General features: G+C 46.2%; 1 protein-coding gene across 3 annotated transcripts in view, besides 1 other annotated feature; it reads right to left on the reverse strand.

The window, feature by feature from the left end:
• The window catches only part of PIK3C2B (phosphatidylinositol-4-phosphate 3-kinase catalytic subunit type 2 beta), a 72173-nt gene continuing 62868 nt past the window's right edge, over nucleotides 9186–18490 (reverse strand). For all 3 annotated transcript variants that reach the window (NM_001377334.1, NM_001377335.1, NM_002646.4), the window contains 6 exons: nucleotides 18222–18346; nucleotides 16474–16591; nucleotides 14692–14773; nucleotides 14201–14307; nucleotides 12166–12294; nucleotides 9186–11593 (listed from right to left, as the gene is read on the reverse strand). In NM_001377334.1, the coding sequence (NP_001364263.1) occupies nucleotides 11405–11593; nucleotides 12166–12294; nucleotides 14201–14307; nucleotides 14692–14773; nucleotides 16474–16591; nucleotides 18222–18346 (750 nt within the window). In that variant the 3' untranslated portion in view covers nucleotides 9186–11404. The remainder of the gene's footprint in view (nucleotides 11594–12165; nucleotides 12295–14200; nucleotides 14308–14691; nucleotides 14774–16473; nucleotides 16592–18221; nucleotides 18347–18490) is intronic.
• Nucleotides 17914–18208: an enhancer, noted in NCBI's record as "tiled region #11435; HepG2 Activating DNase matched - State 12:CtcfO, and K562 Activating DNase unmatched - State 12:CtcfO". NCBI's record gives its function as "activates a minimal TATA promoter and a strong SV40 promoter by Sharpr-MPRA in HepG2 and K562 cells {active_cell/tissue: HepG2 | K562}" and the evidence as "EXISTENCE:reporter gene assay evidence [ECO:0000049][PMID:27701403]".

An 18490-nucleotide genomic window follows, 5' to 3' on the forward strand; every position in this document is an offset into this window, starting at 1 on the left:
ATCTCTTGTGAGTTTGGTCTTAGTTCATTTCTTTATTTCTGCTAAAACTCTGTAATAGATACCCCTGAAGTCAAGTACCAATTACAGAGGGAGGGTGGCAGTTATGAGCACTAGGGACAGCAGAAAAATCTTTAGGGAGCTGGGAGGAGACCAGCAGCTCCTCCTGCCTTACTGGGCCTGTTCAAGGAACAACCACTTCTTTTTTTCTTTTTTGAGACGAGTCTCGCTCTGTTGCCCAGGATATAGTGCAGTGGTGTGATCTCTGCTCACTGCAACCTCCGCCTTCCTGGGTTCAAACTATTATCCTGCCTCAGCCTCCCTAGTAGCTAGGACTACAGGCACATGCCACCACGCCCGGCTAATTTTTGTATTTTTAGTAGAGACGGAGTTTCACCATGTTAGCCAGGATGGTCTCAATTTCCTGACCTTGTGATCTGCCCGCCTCAGCCTCCCAAAGTGCTGGGATTACAGGCGTGAGCCACCACGTTCGGCACAACCACTTCTTTCTAGGAAGCCAAGAGGACCTCAGTTTCTGTTGTTTATCCTGTATTATTATCCATACCTCTGGAAAATCTCAATCCTATGAACTTCAGAAAAATGTATTAATAATAGAGGTCAGTTTCATAATACAGATCCAAGTAGGCAAATTTGTTACCAGAAGCCTGTTTCTTGTAAAGTGAGGCTAGTAATTCCTCTTTCAATGGATTGGTAAGAAAACTAAGTTTTCTCAGTGCCTAGCCTAGACAGAGTAGGAGCACAAAGATTAGCTAATATTCTTGTGTGGTTCTGCTTTACAGTCTTCAGTTGTTTCCTCATTGCCTGCAGAATAAAGGCTCTATGCAGCCTGCCCTCCCACTGTACTCTTCCAGCCTCCTCTGTCACTTGTCTTCATGCATGTTATATTCTAGGAACATTGGACTTACCTGTACTCCTTGCTTCCTGCCTTTACTCATGCTGTTTCTCAGCCAAGAAAAGCTTCACCTTTCCTGTTACATACCTACTCATCCTTCAAGATCCAATTCAAATGTCAGCTTCTCCTTGAAGCCTTCATTGACCTTTCCAGCCAGAATTAATGGATCCCTCACAGTACTTATATTATTCCGCTCTATTAGAGCACTTAACACATTGCATTACATATACCTGTAAGTATTCTCTCTTGCTGGTCCCTGAATTCCTTGAGGGCTGTATCCAACTATCTAGAAAAGTGGTTCCCAAAGTATGGTCTGGGCACCCCTGGGGATCCTCCTTTGAAACCCTTTCAGAGGGTCCTTAAGGCCAAAAATATTTCCATAATAATTCTCAGCTTTTTTAACTCTCATTTTCTCATGTATGTACAGTGAAGTCTTCTGGAAGATACATGGTGTGTGAACTGTCAACAGAATGAATGCAAAAGCAGATAGATACGAGATTCTAGCTGTTTTATATTAAGCCAGATACTAAAGACATTTGGAAAAAATGTAAGACAATGCCACTTTTCTCACTAAGCTTTTTATGTTTTGAAAAATAATTGAACATTACCAGCCTGGGCAACATGGCAAAACCCTGTCTCTACAAAACATACAAAAATTAGCCAGGCATGACGGTGCACGCCTGTGGTCCCAGCTACTCAGGAGGCTGAGGTGGGAGGATTGCTCAAGCCTGGGAGGCAGAGGTTGCAGTGAGCCAAGATTGTGCCACTGCACTCCATCCTGGGCAACAGAGTGAGATCCTGCCTCAAAAAAAAAAAAAAAATTAACATGTAATTGGTTATTTTTAAATGAATTTTAAAATTTTATTGTATTTTTCATTAAAGACAGAGTTTCATATGTTGCCCAGGCTGGAGTGCAGTGCGTATTCACAGGGGCAATCACAGCACACTATGGCCTTGAACTCCTGGGCTCAAGCAATCCTCCTGCTTCAGCCTCCCAAGTAGCTGGAACGACAGGTGCACACCACCACACCCAGCCTAAATGAACATTTTTCAGTTCCTCGGTCTTGAATTCATAAATAGGAAATATTGATAGCTATAAACCACATAAAGGTATAAAGATAGTTATTTGGGGTCCTTAGTAATTTTTTTTTGAGACAGGATCTTGCTGTATTGCCCAGGCTGGAGTGCAGTGGTGCAGTCACGGCTCACTGCACCCTTGATCTCCCAGGCTTAAGCAGTCCTCCCACCTCAGCCTCCCAAGTTGTTGGCATAGCAGGTGTGTACCACCACACCTGTTGTTTTTTTTTTTTCATTTTATTATTACATTTTTGAGATGGAGTCTTGCTCTGTTGCCTATGCTGGAGTGCAGTGGTGTAATCTCAGCTCACTGCAACCTCCACCTCCCAGGTTCAAGCGATTCTTCTGCCTCAGCCTCCCAAGTAGCTGGGATTACAGGCACCCACCACCATGCCCGGCCAATTTTTATATTTTTTTAGTGGAGACTGTTTCACCAGGTTGCCCAAGTTGGGGTTTTTTTTCTTTTTAGTAGAGATGAGGTTTTGCCATGTGGCCCAGGCTGGTCTCAAACTCCTGAGCTCAAGCAATTTGCCTGCCTCAGCCTCCCAAAGTGCAGGGATTACAGACATGAGCCAGCACACCTGGCTGGGGCCCTCAATACTTTTTAAGAGTATAAACTTTTTCCTGAGGCCAAAAAGTTTAAGAACCACTGAGGTAGTATGTTGACTGGTACATAATAGGTACCCAATAAATGTTTGTTGAATGAATGGAAGAGTAATAATACTTTAAAATAATGTCGTCTTCCTTAAGACCAAGCCTCTTGCATTCCACTCTCAACTTTGTCACTGACTGACACCACACACCCCTGAAAACAATTTCTTAAAACTTTCTTGAATGGAACTCCCCTTCCCCATGTAGTCATTGGATATATAATTTTTATTCTTCCTTATGTTAGAAGTTCTAAAGAGGGAAAATGCAATCATAAAGTATTTGGGCTAGGCATGGTGGCTCATGCCTGTAATCCTAGCACTTGGGAGGTGGGTCAATTGCTTGAGCCCAAGAGTTCAAGACCAGCCTGAGCAACATATGGCAAAACCCCATCTCTACAAAAAATTTGCCAGGTGTGGTGGTGTGCATCTGTGTTCCCAGCCACTCAGGAGGTTGAGGTGGGAGGATCACTTGAGCCCAGGAGGTTGAGGCTGCAGTGAGCTGAGAACATGCCACCACACTCCAGTCTGGGTGACAGACTGAGACCCTGTCTTGAAAGAAAAAGGGATGGAAGGAAAGAAAAGAAGAAAGAGGGAGGGAGGGAGGGAAGGAAGGAAGGAAACAAAGAGAAAAAAAGGAAAGAAAAGGAAGGAAAGGAAAGGAAAAGAAGAGAAAGGAAGAATGGGAGGAAGGGAGGGAATGGAAGGAAGGGAGGGAAAGGAAGGAAGGAAGGAAAGAAGGGAGGGAGGGAGGGAAAGAAAGAAGGAAAGAAAAGGAAGAAGGAAAGGAAAGGAAGGGAGGGAGGGAGAGAGGGAAAGAAAGAAAAAAAGGGAAGAAGGAAGAAGGAAGAAGAAAGGGAGGGAGGGAGGGAAAAGGAAGGAAGGAAGAAAGGAAAGAAAGAAGAAAAGGAAGAATGGAAGAAGGGGGGGAGGAGAGGGAAGGGGAGAGGAGGGGGACAGGAGTGTGGGGGGAGGGGAGAGGGAGGGGAGAGAGAAGGAAGGAAGGGAGGGAAAAGAAAGAAAGAACCTGAGCAACAGTCTACAAAAGTTTATGGAAAAAAAAAGTTTAAAAAATTAAAATATTTGAGAGCTGCCTCTGAGAATATGTGACTTTGCCTTGTTCGTCTCAGCTGGAAAAGTGTGACTCAGCCTTCCCAAGCCTGCTAGAGGGCAGAGGGAGGCCAGATCTGTACACAGAGATAACATGTTGCCAAGGCCGTGTGCAAGCTGGTGAAGACAAAAAGTCCTTCCATTGGCAAGCTGACTGGCACTTTGGCCGGAGAAAATTAAAACCTCAGTTAATTCTGTTTATTTTAAAAGACTTTGCCAGACTGAGGTAAAGGGTATATGGCTCTTGATTTTTTCGGAGTCACCACCAGCTCCAAAATCTGATATCGCAGTATCTCCCACTCTGGCTGCCGCCTCCTACCAATCCACACTGCCCTGATAACCCTATTCAGCTGCTGGTTAACTCCTCAGAGACCACAAACCATTGCTCTTACCACTTTTTGTGATCCATCACACTCTTCATTTCCCTCCTTACTCAGCATGAATTTCCATGATCCAGTATTAAAACTACCCCCTTGCCCTTCTACTCCCTGGCAAAACTCCAACCCTAGTTAAACCCAACTACTCACGCATTCTGCGCCTGCACCCTTGCAGCTAATCATTGCTTAAGAAGATCGCTCAGACATGCTGAGTGACTCACTTCATACTTGTGATCACAATCTCATCGACACCAGGCACTCCCACCACAGTTCCCTAGAAGCTTTGCTTCTCCTACACTCTGAGACTGTCTCACAATACTTCTTTCTTCAAATTTCCAGCATTTCCCATAAACACACATTCTCAGTTTATGATCACACTCATACTTCAAGAAAAAACAGATACAACTGGACATAAATCACCTCATCTTTCCCTGAACAAATCCACCGGCATCTGGACCCACATAATCTGCCTTCAATCCTGCCACAACCCAAGAAACCTCCTGGATGCCATCCCTCCATTTTCACTTAAGGAATTCTGACCTCTCTTATCCCTTCTCCCTAGTAACATACACGTTTCTCTCACTAATAGATCATTCACATTTACATAACTTAATATCAGCTATATTAAAAATAAAAAGACCACCCAGCATGGTGGCTTACGCCTGTAATCCCTACACTTTGCAGGGCCAAGGCAGGGGGCTTGAGCCAAGGCTTGAGCCCAAGTGTTCAAGACCAGCCTGGACGACATAGCAAGACCTTGTCTCTACAAAAATTTAAAAAATTCGCTGGGCGTGGTGGCTCACACCTGTAGTCCCAGCTACTCAGGAGGTTGAGGTGGGAGGACTGCTTGAGCCAACGAGGTTAGGGCTGCAGTGAGCCAAGAACACACCACCACCCTGCAGCCTGGGTGACAGAGCAAGACTCTGTCTCAAAAAAAAGTAAATAATAAAAAAAAGCCTTCCCTAGATACACACCCCTCCAAGCTTCTGCACCACCAGAGCGAAACCTCTCGAGAGTTGTTAGTGCTTATGGTCTCCACTTCCTCTTCACCTATACTCTCCCCAGCCTACACCAATGTGGCTTTCACCCCCACCACTCATTCAGGCAGCTCTTATCAAGGTCACCAAGACCACTTTGCTATGTTCACTCCTCTTGACTGTTAGGGGTTGAACTGTGTCCCCCAAAAGATAAAGTCCTAAAGATAAAGTACTAAAGTCCCCTTAGTACCTGTGAATGTGATCTTATTTGGAAATAGGTTCTTTGCAGATGATCAAGTTAAGATGAGGTCATTATGGTGGGCTCTAATCCAAGATGACAGCGTCCTTATAAAAAGAGGAGATTTGGACACAGACATGTGCATGCACAGGGAGAGAATGCCACGGCAATGTGAAGGCAGAGACTGGGTTGATGCATATATAAGCCAAGGAATGCCAGATTGCCAGCAAACCTCCAGAAGCCAGGAGAGAAACATGGAACAGACTCTCGCACAGCCCTCACAAGGAATCAACCTTGCAGACACCTTGATTTTGGACTTCCAACCTCCAGAAATACATTGCTGTTTAAGCCTCTCAGTTTGTGATACTTTGTTATGGCAGCCCCAGGACACTGATCATACTTTTCTTTAGGTTGCCAGGACACCATTGATCTGCTCCTCCTCCTCCTCTAAATGTTGGCCTCAATCCACCCACATGCCTCTCTAACCTGGGTGATCTCATCTCATTCCATGGAATTAAATGCCATCTGAATGCTGATGACTTCCATATCTAAACTTCCAGACTGACTTCCCTTGGGCTTCAGATTCCATTCTATTATTTCTCCACTTAGATTTCTATCACACGTCTCAAACTTATCACAATCAGTAGTCTTGATTCAGCTCTACTGAACCTACCTCCCCACTCCCAGTAATTCCTCCAGAGGACTCTTTGCCTACATTCTGAGGCTCCACACTGAGGAGTCAACCTCAACTCCCCTTTCCCTCGATTCCATATGCAGTCCATCAGCAAGTCCTGTCAGCTCTACCTTCAAAATATATCCAGAATTTGACCACTTTTACCATCCCCAAGCCACCATCATTTCCCTCCTAGACTACAATAGCCTCCTCTTCTGCTTCCATTCTTGCTTCGAACAGCAGCCAGAAGAATGATCCCTTAAAACATAAATTAGACATTACCGTTTTTCAGGTTTTTTTTTTTTTTTTTTTTAGATAAGAGTCTCTCTCTGTTGCCCAGGCTAGAGTGCAGTGGTGCCGTCTTAACTTACTGCAACCTCCACTTCCTGGGTTCAAGTGATCCTCCTGCCTGAGCTTCCTGAGTAGCTGGGATTACAGGCGTTCACCACCACACCTGGCTAATTTTTGTATTTTTAGTAGAGTTGGGGTTTCACTATGTTGGCCAGGCTGGTCTCGAACTCCTGACCTCAGATGATCCACCCGCCTTGGCCTCCCAAAGTGCTGAGATTAGAGCCATGGGCCACCGTGCCCGGCCCCTGCAGTTCCCTTTCTGAAAACCCCATCACCCTAAGAATAAAGCCTGAAGCTCTGATTGATTTTAACACTCAGATCAGATATCCTCTCTGAAGCCCACTCTGCCTGCCCCACCCCTTCTTATGCCACCTTGTCCGTATCACACTGCACTGTATTTATTTCCATGCCTGCCTCCCTTGAAAGACTGAGTTCCTTGAAGACAGGATCCACACCTTTGTTATCTGAGTAGCCACAGTACCGGACACCTCGCCTCACCCAGAGTAAGCCATTAGTGTTGTTTGTTGACACTTTAGACAAGTCCCAGCCACCAGAAAATTCTCTCCCAATTTAAAATGCTGCCTCATTTTTTCACCTTTCAAATCCAGTCTAATCTTTGCTCCCCAAATCTCGGCAAGCTGGGCTGCTTCATTTTTGTCACCTCTCTTTGAACTCAGAAATCTGGGCCCCCTGGGCTGCCTTTGTTTCTTTTCTCCTTGGGCAACCTCTCTCTCTCATTCCCCACCTCTCTCATTCCCATTCCCTCAGGAGGGTTCAGATTTCTACCTCATTTGGCCACGAAATTTCCTTCACTAAGACTCTTGGCAGATTCAAGTACTAACCTTTAAAAAGTCCATAGGGACTTGCCCAGAACTGCAGTGACACCTCAAGACCACTTAGAAATAAAGCAGTAACACTTCCTACTGTTTACTACTGAAAAATCCCTGGAAGCCCCCACAGAATTCCCCAGTATGAAACATGACTCCCCACTGGAGAGTTCTGAAGACTTCTGGGTACAATGCTTGAACAAGGGTCACTTCACTTCCATCCTGCACTTGGGGGATTCCCTTCTGGGCTATGGTTATGCTGTAGTGGCTTGATAGTTTTGAGGCATCTCAAGTTTCAGTTTTTTCTCCTATAAAATGGAGTTGGTCAAATATTTCTAGGTAGTAAACTTCTTTTTTTTTTTTTTTTAAGACAGTTTCGCTCTTTTTGCCCAGGATGGAGTGCAATGGCGCAATCTCAGCTCACTGCAACCTCCGCCTCCCGGGTTCAAGCGATTCTCCTGCCTCAGCCTCCCAAGTAGGTGGGATTACAGGTGCCCGCCACCACACCCAGCTAATTTTTTGTATTTTTAGTAGAGATGGGGTTTCACTGTGTTAGCCAGGATGGTCTCGATCTCCTGACTTCGTGATCTGCCTGCCTCGGCCTCCCAAAGTGCTGGGATTACAGGCGTGAGCCACCGTGCCTGGCCCTGGTAGTGAACTTCTTAAATGCAGAGAACTGTCTTAATTTACCTTGGTAAGCCCCAATCCAGTACCTAGAGTACAGGGCCCAGGATGCATTCAATACAATGTATTTTTTTATGAATGGAGGCATGCCACTAGGTAGCACTGGTAAGAACTGTAAATGTTTGTTGCAGAATTCATGAATGAGCCATACTTACTGTCCAGGGCAGTGGTAATGGAAGATGATATATATCATGTATAAAAAGCACCCGAAATACCAATTAGACCAACTTAAGGGATTGTATTAAACATTGCCTAGGAGGGGTTGCACAAGGTTTGGAGTGCAACAAACCTGGGTTCAAACTCCAAGACTTATTGGCTGTGTGCCCTTAGGCAAGTTACTTCATCCCTCTGAGCTTCAGTTTCTTCATCTGTAAAATGGGTAATGGTACACACCTGATCAAGTTGTTGTGAGGATAGATTTAGCTGACAAATGTAAAAATGGTCAGTGCAGTGCACTAGTGCATATAAAAGTTACCATGTGGTGGTATAAAAAACCACTATTATTATTTTCATCTCATACATCAGATGTTTCAATGTAAACATGTGAACATCAACCAATTTTTTTTTTTTTTTTTTTTTTTTTTTGAGACGGAGTTTCACTCTTGTTGCCCAGGTTGGAGTGCAATGGCACGATCTCGACTCACTGCAACCTCCACCTCCCTGGTTCAAGTGATTCTCCTGCCTCAGCCTCCTGAGTAGCTGAGGTTACAGGCGCATGCCACCATGCCTGGCTAATTTTTGTATTTTTAGTAGAGACGGGGTTTCACTATGTTGGTCAGGTTAGTCTCGAACTCCTGACCTCGGGTGATTCACCCACCTTGGCCTCCCAAAGTGCTGAGATTACAGGGATGAGCCACTCTGCCCAGCCAAACATCAACCAATCTTTAAAATGATAGTTTCAGCTGGGTGCAGTGGCTCACACCTGTAATCCCAACACTTTGGGAGGACAAGGTGAGAGGGTTGCTTGGACTCAGGAATTCAAGACCAGCCTGCGCAATGTAGCAAGACCTTGGCTCTACTAAAAATTACTTTTAAAAATTATGGGAGGCTGAGGCGGGTAGATCACTTGAGCCCAGGAGTTCAAGACCAGCCTGGGAAACATAGCAAAACCCTGTCTCTACAAAGAATAAAAAAAAATTAGCCAGACATGGTGGTGTGCACCTGTGGTCCCAGCTACTGGGAAGGCTGAGGTGGGAGGATGGATGGAGTCCGGGAGGTGGAGGTTGCAGTGAGCCTAGATCTCACCACTGCACTCCAAGCCTGGGCGACTGAGAGAGACCCTGTGTCAAAAAAATAAATAAAATTATAGTTTCATTTTTTTCTCAAATGTCATTTATTAGAAAATACAATTCCCGAGAAAGGAGATACAAGGGATTCTGGGAAGTGGGAAGTAAACAGTACACAGATCTCTTTAAATCAGGAGCATATAGGTCATAATAAAATGAGCTACAGGCACAAAGCCAGTAACACATTTATGGTCCGTTCATCTGGAAAAGTTTCACCGCCCACTCCCCACTCCTCTTCCCCCTCCTGGAAGCAGCCAGCTTTATCCTTGGCATTTTAATTTTAGAGAAAATTTAAACTTCCATGCTGCCCTGTGGCTTCGGTCAATGGAGCTTCTTTCTCCAGTTATGGAATGAGTCAGCAAAACGGGGAGTTTCTGATCCTTGGAATTAGGGAGGGACAGTTTACAGAATGTCCTCATTTCACTCTTTTCCCAATCATGGGAAATATCCAGCCAATTCTGGTTTTAAAGATTCATATCAAATTCAAAGTCCCTCCCTCCTTTTGGCGAGGAAGACAACCCTTTGGAGCGAAACACAAAAGAGCAAATGTAAAATCCATCTGGGGCGGGGCATGGTGGCTCACGCCTGTAATCCCAGCACTTTGGGAGGCCAAGGCAGGCAGATCACGAGGTCAAGAGATCGAGACCATCCTGGCCAACATGGTGAAACCCCGTCTCTACTAAAAATACAAAAATTAGCTTGGCGTGGTGGCACATGCCTGTAATCCCAGCTACTCGGGAGGCTGAGGTAGGAGAATCGCTTGAACCCGGGAGGCAGATTTTGCAGTGAGTCGAGATCATGCCACTACACTCCAGCCTGGCGACAGGGCGAGACTCCGTCTCCAAAAAAAAAAAAAAAAATCCATCTGGTAGGGAATAAAGAATATGAAGAGATAAGGGAGTCAGTCTCAGTCTCTCCCTTCGGGCTCCTGAGCTTAGCTCCAGGGGAATAATCACCACTCCAATCCAGCCTCCTACTGACCAAAGAAAAATCATGGGGCAAAAAACAACAGTTTTGATGGAATCCCCCACCCCATGCCCCTTTCCTTCAGATAGGGCATCCCTTTGGCTCCAGACTAAATAGGTTTATGGCCCCACAGAATGAGGAAAAGTCTTATAAAAAGGGTGACAGAAATGGAGTTTGGGAGGGAAGCAGCACAGCAGAAAGAAGTGGGGAGTGATGGATGGGGAATGCTTTCCAGAGGCTACCTAGCAAGCAGTCAGTAGCATCTGCAGCCTAGGGACCTCTTCCCAGGGCCAAGATGCTCTTGGGTGAAACTACATCTAAGGACTGAGTCAGTATTTTGTCCCACCAGAGACAAATGAAGGGAGAGACCTATGGGGAAGCACCCCCAGCATATTCATAGAGACCAGCTGACCCCCAGAAGGGCCAGGAGAATGGAGGGGCAAGGGGTAGAAAATGGTATTCAGGGCAAGTCCTAATAAAGTAGGGAAGACAAGAGGAAAAGTCCCCCCAAAAGAGCATGGGTCCCTGAATACGGGTCCTTGGCAGAACCCCAATACGGAAGGCCCTTCCTTACACATGTAGGTATCACAGCGCTCTCCTTTGGAGGCAAAATCAGAAAGGCCCAGTGGCACAAGCCTCAGTCCAGCACAGGCAGCCCTCCCCAACCCTCCCCAACCTGTCCTTAGAGAGGGCTCTGGCCGAGGACCCACTGGGCCCCTCCCCAGATAGTTCCTATAGCTAGAAAACGAAACAACAACAACAATAACAAAAAAAAAAAACCTAGGGAAAAGTCCAATAAGAACCTTAATCATACAAAAAGTCCAAATAGTCTTCCTCTCTTGCCTTCTGGGGCATAGGTACGTCCCTTCTCGCAAGGCTTCCTGTCCCAGTTAGGACAACATCACTATTTCATTTTTTAAAAATAAAAATTAAGATATCCACCCACCCACCCCCAAAATGCTACTTCATACAGCCCACCCCACACACTCCCCAAACCAAGCATTGCTCCCTTGACACAAGGTAAACTTAAAACTTTGCTGCAACCTCACAGCCTCCAAGGGGCTGCTCATCACAACCAACCCAAGTTCAGTCTCCAGAGGAAGAGACAGCAGAGCATGTCTTACTCTCCCTGCCTCCTACCACAGAGGCCAGAATCACCTGGACCGAGCTGGAGGCCTGCCCAGGGCCCTGGCCCTTCACAAGGAGGAGTCTCACAGGGGAGAGTCCTCTCCCCCAGCTCCTGCCACCAGCCTGGGATGCTGGGTGGTGGCTCTGCTGGGCTCACAAGGTGCCATGACTTCGAGATCCCAGGGCGAACCAGCCGGTCTTCTCCTGAGCCAGGTCCAGCTCTCGCAGGCGGATGTTCACCTCACCGAGGAGGACGTTCTCCCAGAATCCCTGCTCACTCAGCACGCTCAGCTGGAGCTCCCGCTGCTGCAGGTCACCCTTGGGGATCCCATCATATACCAACTGCAAACATAGAGATGGGTGAGGGAAGTGGTGAGAGAAGGAACAAGAAGAATCCAGAGGGAACCCGAGAGGGAGATGGTAAAGTCTGTTGGGGGCTGATCCAGCTGAGGCTAGCACTCACCCTGCAGAGTCCCAGGTAATACAGAAGGCACACAAGGTACACAGACTCCAAGGGAAGCATTAATGAACTCTGTTCTTTGCTCAGAGTTCAAGCAGGTGAGGGCTTTGTATTGGGGCCACTGCTCATTTTCAGCACAGGACCAGCAGGCTTCTCCTTCCCACAGGATAGGGCCAGACCCCAGCCATGAAATCCCAGCCCAAAAGGGCTGGCAAACTTTTTATGTAAAGGGACAGATAGTAAATATTTTTAGGCTTGATAAGCCATATGGTCTATGTTACAACTACTCGATCCTGCCATTGCAACATGAAAGCAGCTACAGGTAACACCTAAATCAGCAAGTACAGCCATGTTCTTAATACAACATCTTAATACGTTCTTCAATACGACTTTATCTAGGAGAACAGGCGCAGGTTGCCAACCCCTGCCCTACCCCACCATTTTCCCCACCCACCATCTCATTGTAGGTAGGATTGCAGGTTTTCCGGGCCACTTTGGTTTTCCTCTTAGTGGTTTTCTGAGGGTCAGGAAGGAGGTAAATTTTCACATAGGGGTCAGGGTCATTTCCATCCTGGAGCAGTTGCTACAATAGAATGAGAACCAAAAAAATGTTAAGATTTTTAACATCTGTCTCTTCACCACCATTCCTGTGATCACACTCTGATCCAGACTCTCATCTGCCATCTGGCATCTTGCAATGCACAACTAATTTATTTGTCTGCTTCCAAGCTCACTCTATTCTGATAAAAATATCTACCATGATAACATTGTGTCCTATTAAAACATCAATTGGTTTGCCTATGATATCAAGTCTATACTTTTATCCAAATCCTCAGGACATCCCATAATGTGCTCTGTTTTGAGTGAACCATCATGTTCCCAGGTATCTTCCTGCCATATCTACTATCCTTATCTATTTTGTCATTTGGTCCACTTAACCCCTAAGAGGTAGAGACATGAGTCACAGAGATTGAGCTGCTTGCTCAAGGGCAGCCAACTAGTGATTCACCCAGCCTGATCCTTTTAAAACCTAAGTCAGATCATGTCATGCCTCTGCTTAAAACCCATCTCATTCAGGGAAAAAGCCACGGTTCTTACTATCAGGGTGAGGTGCTGGTCCATCATACCCTCTCCAACCTCATCATCCACTCCTCTCGACTTTGCTCCATCGGCTTCAGCCGCTGGCCCCTTGCTGTTTCTGACGCACCCCTGGCAGGCTCCTGGCTCTGGGCTGTCAGATCTAACTGCTCCCTTTGCCTGGGAAAGTCTGCCCTCAGATGCATAAACATGGCTCCCTCCCTCACCTTCTCCATCTTGCTAAGACACCTCCTCAACAATGAGGCCTTCCCTGAGCACTCTTTGCAAAGTCCACTCCCTTCATTCCATCCTAGCATTCCTTCTCTGCTTTATTTCTTGCCATAGCTCTTACTACCATCTTCTATGCCATATATTTTACTTATCTGCCTGTGTGCCGTTCCCAACTAGAATGTAAGCCCCCTGAGGGCAGGGATTTTGTTTTGTTTTCCCCCATACCCAGAGCTAATGTATCAGTATATAGCAGGCACTCAAACATTTATTGAATGAAGAGTAAATGGATGAATGTTTATGTTCCTCCTGCCATATCCCACTGCCCCAACCTACATAAAATGCCTAACATAGGATGCAGCACAATGCAAGTATTCAAGTTCCCTTCCTGGCTGGGCGTGGTGGCTCACACCTATAATCCCAGCACTTTGGGAGGCTGAGACAGACGGATCACCTGAAGTCAGGCATTCAAGACCAGTCTAGCCAACATAGTGAAACCCGGTCTCTAATTTTAAAAAATACAAAAATTAGCCAGGTGTGGTGGCATGTGCCTGTAGTCCCAGCTACTCAGGCTGAGGCAGGAAAATCGCTTGAACCCAGGAGGCGGAGGTTGCAGTAAGCCAAGATTGCGCCACTGCACTCCAGCCTGGGTGACAGAGCAAAACTCCATTTCAAAAAAAAAAAAAAGTTCCCTTCCTCTTCTAGTCACAATGTTCTTAGAACTCGTACCAAAAATTTAGTAATTATCTACTACTGCCTTGATCATATTCAAAGGATGTCACGTGGCTGCTCAATCATTATAGCCAGGTAATGAGCCCCTTGGGCCTCTCCCTTATAATTACTATAAAAATCATTATTCTAATAAAACCAGGCATGGTGTTAAGTATTCCACAAGCATTATCTCATTTAATCCCCATAATGACTCTATGAGGTAGGTGCTAACATTTTCCTCATTCTAATGAGGCTCAGAATGATTAGGTTACTTGTCAAAGACCACAGCTACAAAAAGCTGTCTCATGTATTGCCTAGTCATACCATAGGCTTGCTATGGTTATAGGTCCATGGTGGATGCTCAGTAGACTGTGGTGGTTACCCATATGACACGCGGCAGAGAAGGTCTGCCCAAAAAAGTAGCTAAAGAAACATTAAAAAAGAAAAAAAATCACGGCTGTGCAGGCACTTACCAAGCCCCGAATATGCATCACCATGATGAAGAGTTTATTGTTTTTGTAGGAGATGGACAGCTTCACCTCCCCTCCCACCTTTCCGACGGGCCGGGCCCATGTGCCATCTGTAGGGACAAATGAAACCATGAAGGGTCAAGAGGCCAGGCAGGTGTTTCTGTTTTCTTCCTGAACCCCCTTGCCCCAGCCTCTCCATGTCAGATTTCTGATACTCATGAGGCATCTACATAAGTGTAGTCTGAATGTGATTAGAGTTAATTGGGTTGGGATGGGTCTAAGGATATAATCGACTGAATATCCACCCTGTGGGGAACCCAGGTAAGGAACTATGGACCCCACGGCCTGAGTGGGAAACTAGATTTCCCAGAGAGTAAGAAAAGGAACAGGAGGCAAGTCAAGGAGAGAGAACTGAGAAGAGGTTGGGGCAGAAGCAGTTACCCTTGGGGTAGTTCAGAGGAGTTGGCAGTAAGGTCTCAGAGAAGATACTGTACCTGAGGACTTAGGAGCTGGGCTGGTGCCCATAGCCTTCTCATCCCGGGGCAGTGGGTGGAAGAAGGTGTACACCAAATCACACTGGAACAGAATCAGAAACAGGGCCATTCTTCAATAAGACAATGGCCCAATACAAAAAGGAAGGGGACTGTTCCAGATGTAAAAAGACTTAGGAAATATAACAACCAACAACATGCAGTTCTTATGTGGATTATAGCTCTAACAAGCCAACAGTAAAAGGAATTTGGGGGATGATAGGGAAATTTTGAATATGGACTATGGACTGGATAATATAATAATACTGTAGTTACTTTAAAAACAAGACTTTATTGTTTAGAGATGCATAGTGAGTATTTAGGGGGTACAGTATTATGATGTCTGTAATTTACTTTGTTTGTTTGTTTGAGATGGAGTCTCGCTCTGACACCTAGGCTGGAGTGCAGTGGGGCGATCTCAGCTCACTGCAACCTCAGGCTCCCAAGTAGATGAGATTACAGGCCTGCGCCACCACGCCCAGCTAATTTTTGTATTTTTGGTAGAGACATGTTGGCCAGGCTGGTCTCAAATTCCTAACCTCAGGTGATCCACCTGCCTCGGCCTCCCAAAGTGCTAAGATTACAGGCATGAGCCACTGCACCTGGCATGTTATTTATTTTAAAATACTTCATAAAAAATAGAAGAAGCAAATATAGCAAAATGTTAAGTGTTTAGGTGATGGATATATAGGTGCTAATTATATTGTTTCTCTACTTTTCTGCATGCTTGAAAGTTTTAACCCTAAAAAGTTTAAAAAGAAAAAACAGGCCGAGCGCAGTGGTTCATGCCTATAATTCCAGCACTTTGGGAGGCTGAGGCCAGAGGATCGCTTGAGCTCAGGAGTCTGAGACCAGCCTGGTGACATAGTAAAACCCTGTCTTTACAAAAAAAAAAATACAAAAATTAGCCGGGTGTGGTGGCCCATGCCTACAGTCCCAGCTACTCAGGAGACTGAGGTGGGAGGATCGCTTGAGCCTGGGAAGTGGAGGCTGCAGTGAGCTGTGATTGTGCCACTGCACTCCAGACTGAATGACAGGGCAAGATCCTGTCTCAAAAAACAAACAAACTGTGTGAAAATACTCACTTGAACATTAATGGGGAAAAAAAACACATACTCTAAATATCTTTCAAAAATAAAATGGTTAAGATTATGGTACTGCAAGTTGGTGTCTGAAGGAACAGATATTTAAAGTTATAGCATATGTATACTATAAATGCTAAGGGAAAAAAGCTCAGAATCCAGAGTTATACTTAAGCTATAACCACTATAAAACTGTAAAAATCATGCTTGCATATGGACAAATAGGAAGGGAACATGGACAATAGGGGCAGATGATTTGTTAAAGTATTTAATAATAGGATTCCTCATGACTTTGTTAGGGCCATTATACTACTATTTGTTTAAAAAAAAATCTAGGTTGATAATACATACTCAACCTGCTCAAAAAACTTTTTCCTCAAAGAGGAGCCTTCCTTTCTGAGGCTCCGCTCATTCTCATCATTCTCAGCCCATGTGCCTCGATGCATTCACCTTTCTGTTTAATTGCATTTCTGTGTATAACCCTGTGAGGCTGGACCCACCCTCCTCCTGTCTTCTGCAGACTGGAGCATTGGTCATTCAGCCCACAGACCCCGAAGTGCCAAGTCCTGTTCCTGACTCCTAGTGCCTCCGGATGCTTCCACCTCTGCCTCCCCAACCATCCCCACCAGCCTGGACAGCCAGGAGGAGAGGCAAGCCCACCCACCTCGGCCACCTCAGGGGGTGCGTGGATCAAGTGCCAGATGTAACCGTTTAGCTCCTCCCTCCGCCGCTCGGCCACCGCCTCTCCCCGGGAGCGGCCGATCACGAAGCGACTAGGGAAGCTGGCGTGGCAGCGTAGGCAGCGGGGATGCAGGAGGTGAAGATGGGGAAAGAAAATGGACACAATGGGCTTTTTTCACATTTCATTTGCGTTTCCAGTCCCCTAGCACCCATTTCCCAGCAGCCTCCATTTCTAGGGACCCTCACAATTCCTCCTGTGCTGCACATCTGTGCCCAGGTCTGACACCTGCTCAGCATCTCATGACTACATTTCCAAGGGCCCCAGACAAGAAAACCAAACAGCAGGCCAGAGTCCTGTGGCTCCCCAGAAATGGCTCGGGAGCCCTCAGTTTCTCCCATCGATGTAAAAATCCTTTTTTTTTTTTTGAGATGGAGTCTCGCTCTGTCACCCAGGCGGGAGTACAGTGGCGCAATCTCGGCTCACTGCAACCTCCACCACCCGGGTTCAAGCGATTCTCCTGCCTCAGCCTCCCCAGTAGCTGGGATTACAGGCACACACCACCGCACCCAGCTAATTTTTGTATTTTTAGTAGAGGGGGGTTTCACCATGTTGGCCAGGCTGGTCTCAAACTCCTTAGCTCATGATCTGCCTGCCTCAGCCTGCCAAAGTGCTGGGATTACAGGCATGAGCCACCGCACCCGGCCAAAAAATTCATTTAAAAAGTTGTTTGTTTGTTTTGAGACTGAGTCTCGCTTTGCCGCCCAGGCTGGAGCGCAGTCACGTGATCTCAGCTCACTGCAACCTCTGCCTCCCGGGTTCAAGCGATTCTCCTGCCTCAGCCTCCTGAGTAGCTGGGATTATAAAAGCATGCCACCACACTAATTTTTGTATTTTTAGTAGAGATGGGGTTTCACCATGTTGGCCAGGCTGCTCTCGAACTCCTGACCTCAGGCAATCTGCCCACCTAGGCCTCCCAAAGTGCTGGGATTACAGGCGTGAACCACTGCGCCCGGCCTGAAAAGTAGTTTTTAAAAAAATTGCAGTAAAATATGTGTAACATAAAATTTGCCATCTTAACCATTTTTAAGTGTACAGTTCTGTGGAATTAACCATATTCACACTGTCATGCAACCATCGCCACTATCCAACTTCATAGCTCTTTTCATCTTGCAAAACTGAAGCTCTGTACCCATTAAACAACCACACCTACCTCCCCTCAGACCTGGGCAACTAGCTTTCTACTTTCTGCCTCTAGGAGTCTGACTACTCCAGGTAACTCAGATAAGTGGAATCGTGCCGTTTTTGTTTTTTTGTGACTGGCTTATTTCACTTAGCAGAATGTCCTCAAGGTCCATCCACGTTGTTACCCGTGTCGAAATCTCCCTCCATTTTAAATGCTGAATAATATCCCACTGTATGTACATATGACATTTTGCTTATCCATTTGAAAAATGGTGTAACTCTTTAAAAAATTAGAAATTTTGAAACATCAGATTCAACCATGCCTTCCTTTCTGGCCAGTGGGCCTGGAGTGAGAGCTCTTGCGTGCAAGGAGAGCTTGGCCAGCAGGGGGAGCACTTGTCATCAAACTCCATACCAGGCCAAGCAAAGCAGGCAGATGTTTAGTCCAAAAGGGTATTTTCTGCCCCTGCAGCCCTGACCACCTCCCATCCCGTATCCTTTCCCCCTCCCCGACATCCCTCTGTGCAGATAGTAAAGGGGGCAGCTACCTGGGCAAGTGGGAAGAAGGGAAGAGCAGCCGCAACTTATTGTGTAATTCCTGGAACTCCTCAAAGGTCCGCTGGATGTAGGTGGCCTCGTGAGTGTTCTCTCGCATCACCTTTACCACATATATCTGCAAAGGTCCAGATCTTAGGGTGTACCTGCCGAGCCCTCTGCACCCAGTGAAGGGTGTAGGAAAGGTCCGGAAGTGTATGTATGTGCTGAGGGGAGGGGCACATTCCAGAAGGAAGAGAGCAAGAGTGGAGACAGATGATAG

The sequence above is a fragment of the Homo sapiens genome, chromosome 1 (assembly GCF_000001405.40).
Source record: "Homo sapiens chromosome 1, GRCh38.p14 Primary Assembly".
Classification (NCBI taxonomy): domain Eukaryota; kingdom Metazoa; phylum Chordata; class Mammalia; order Primates; family Hominidae; genus Homo; species Homo sapiens.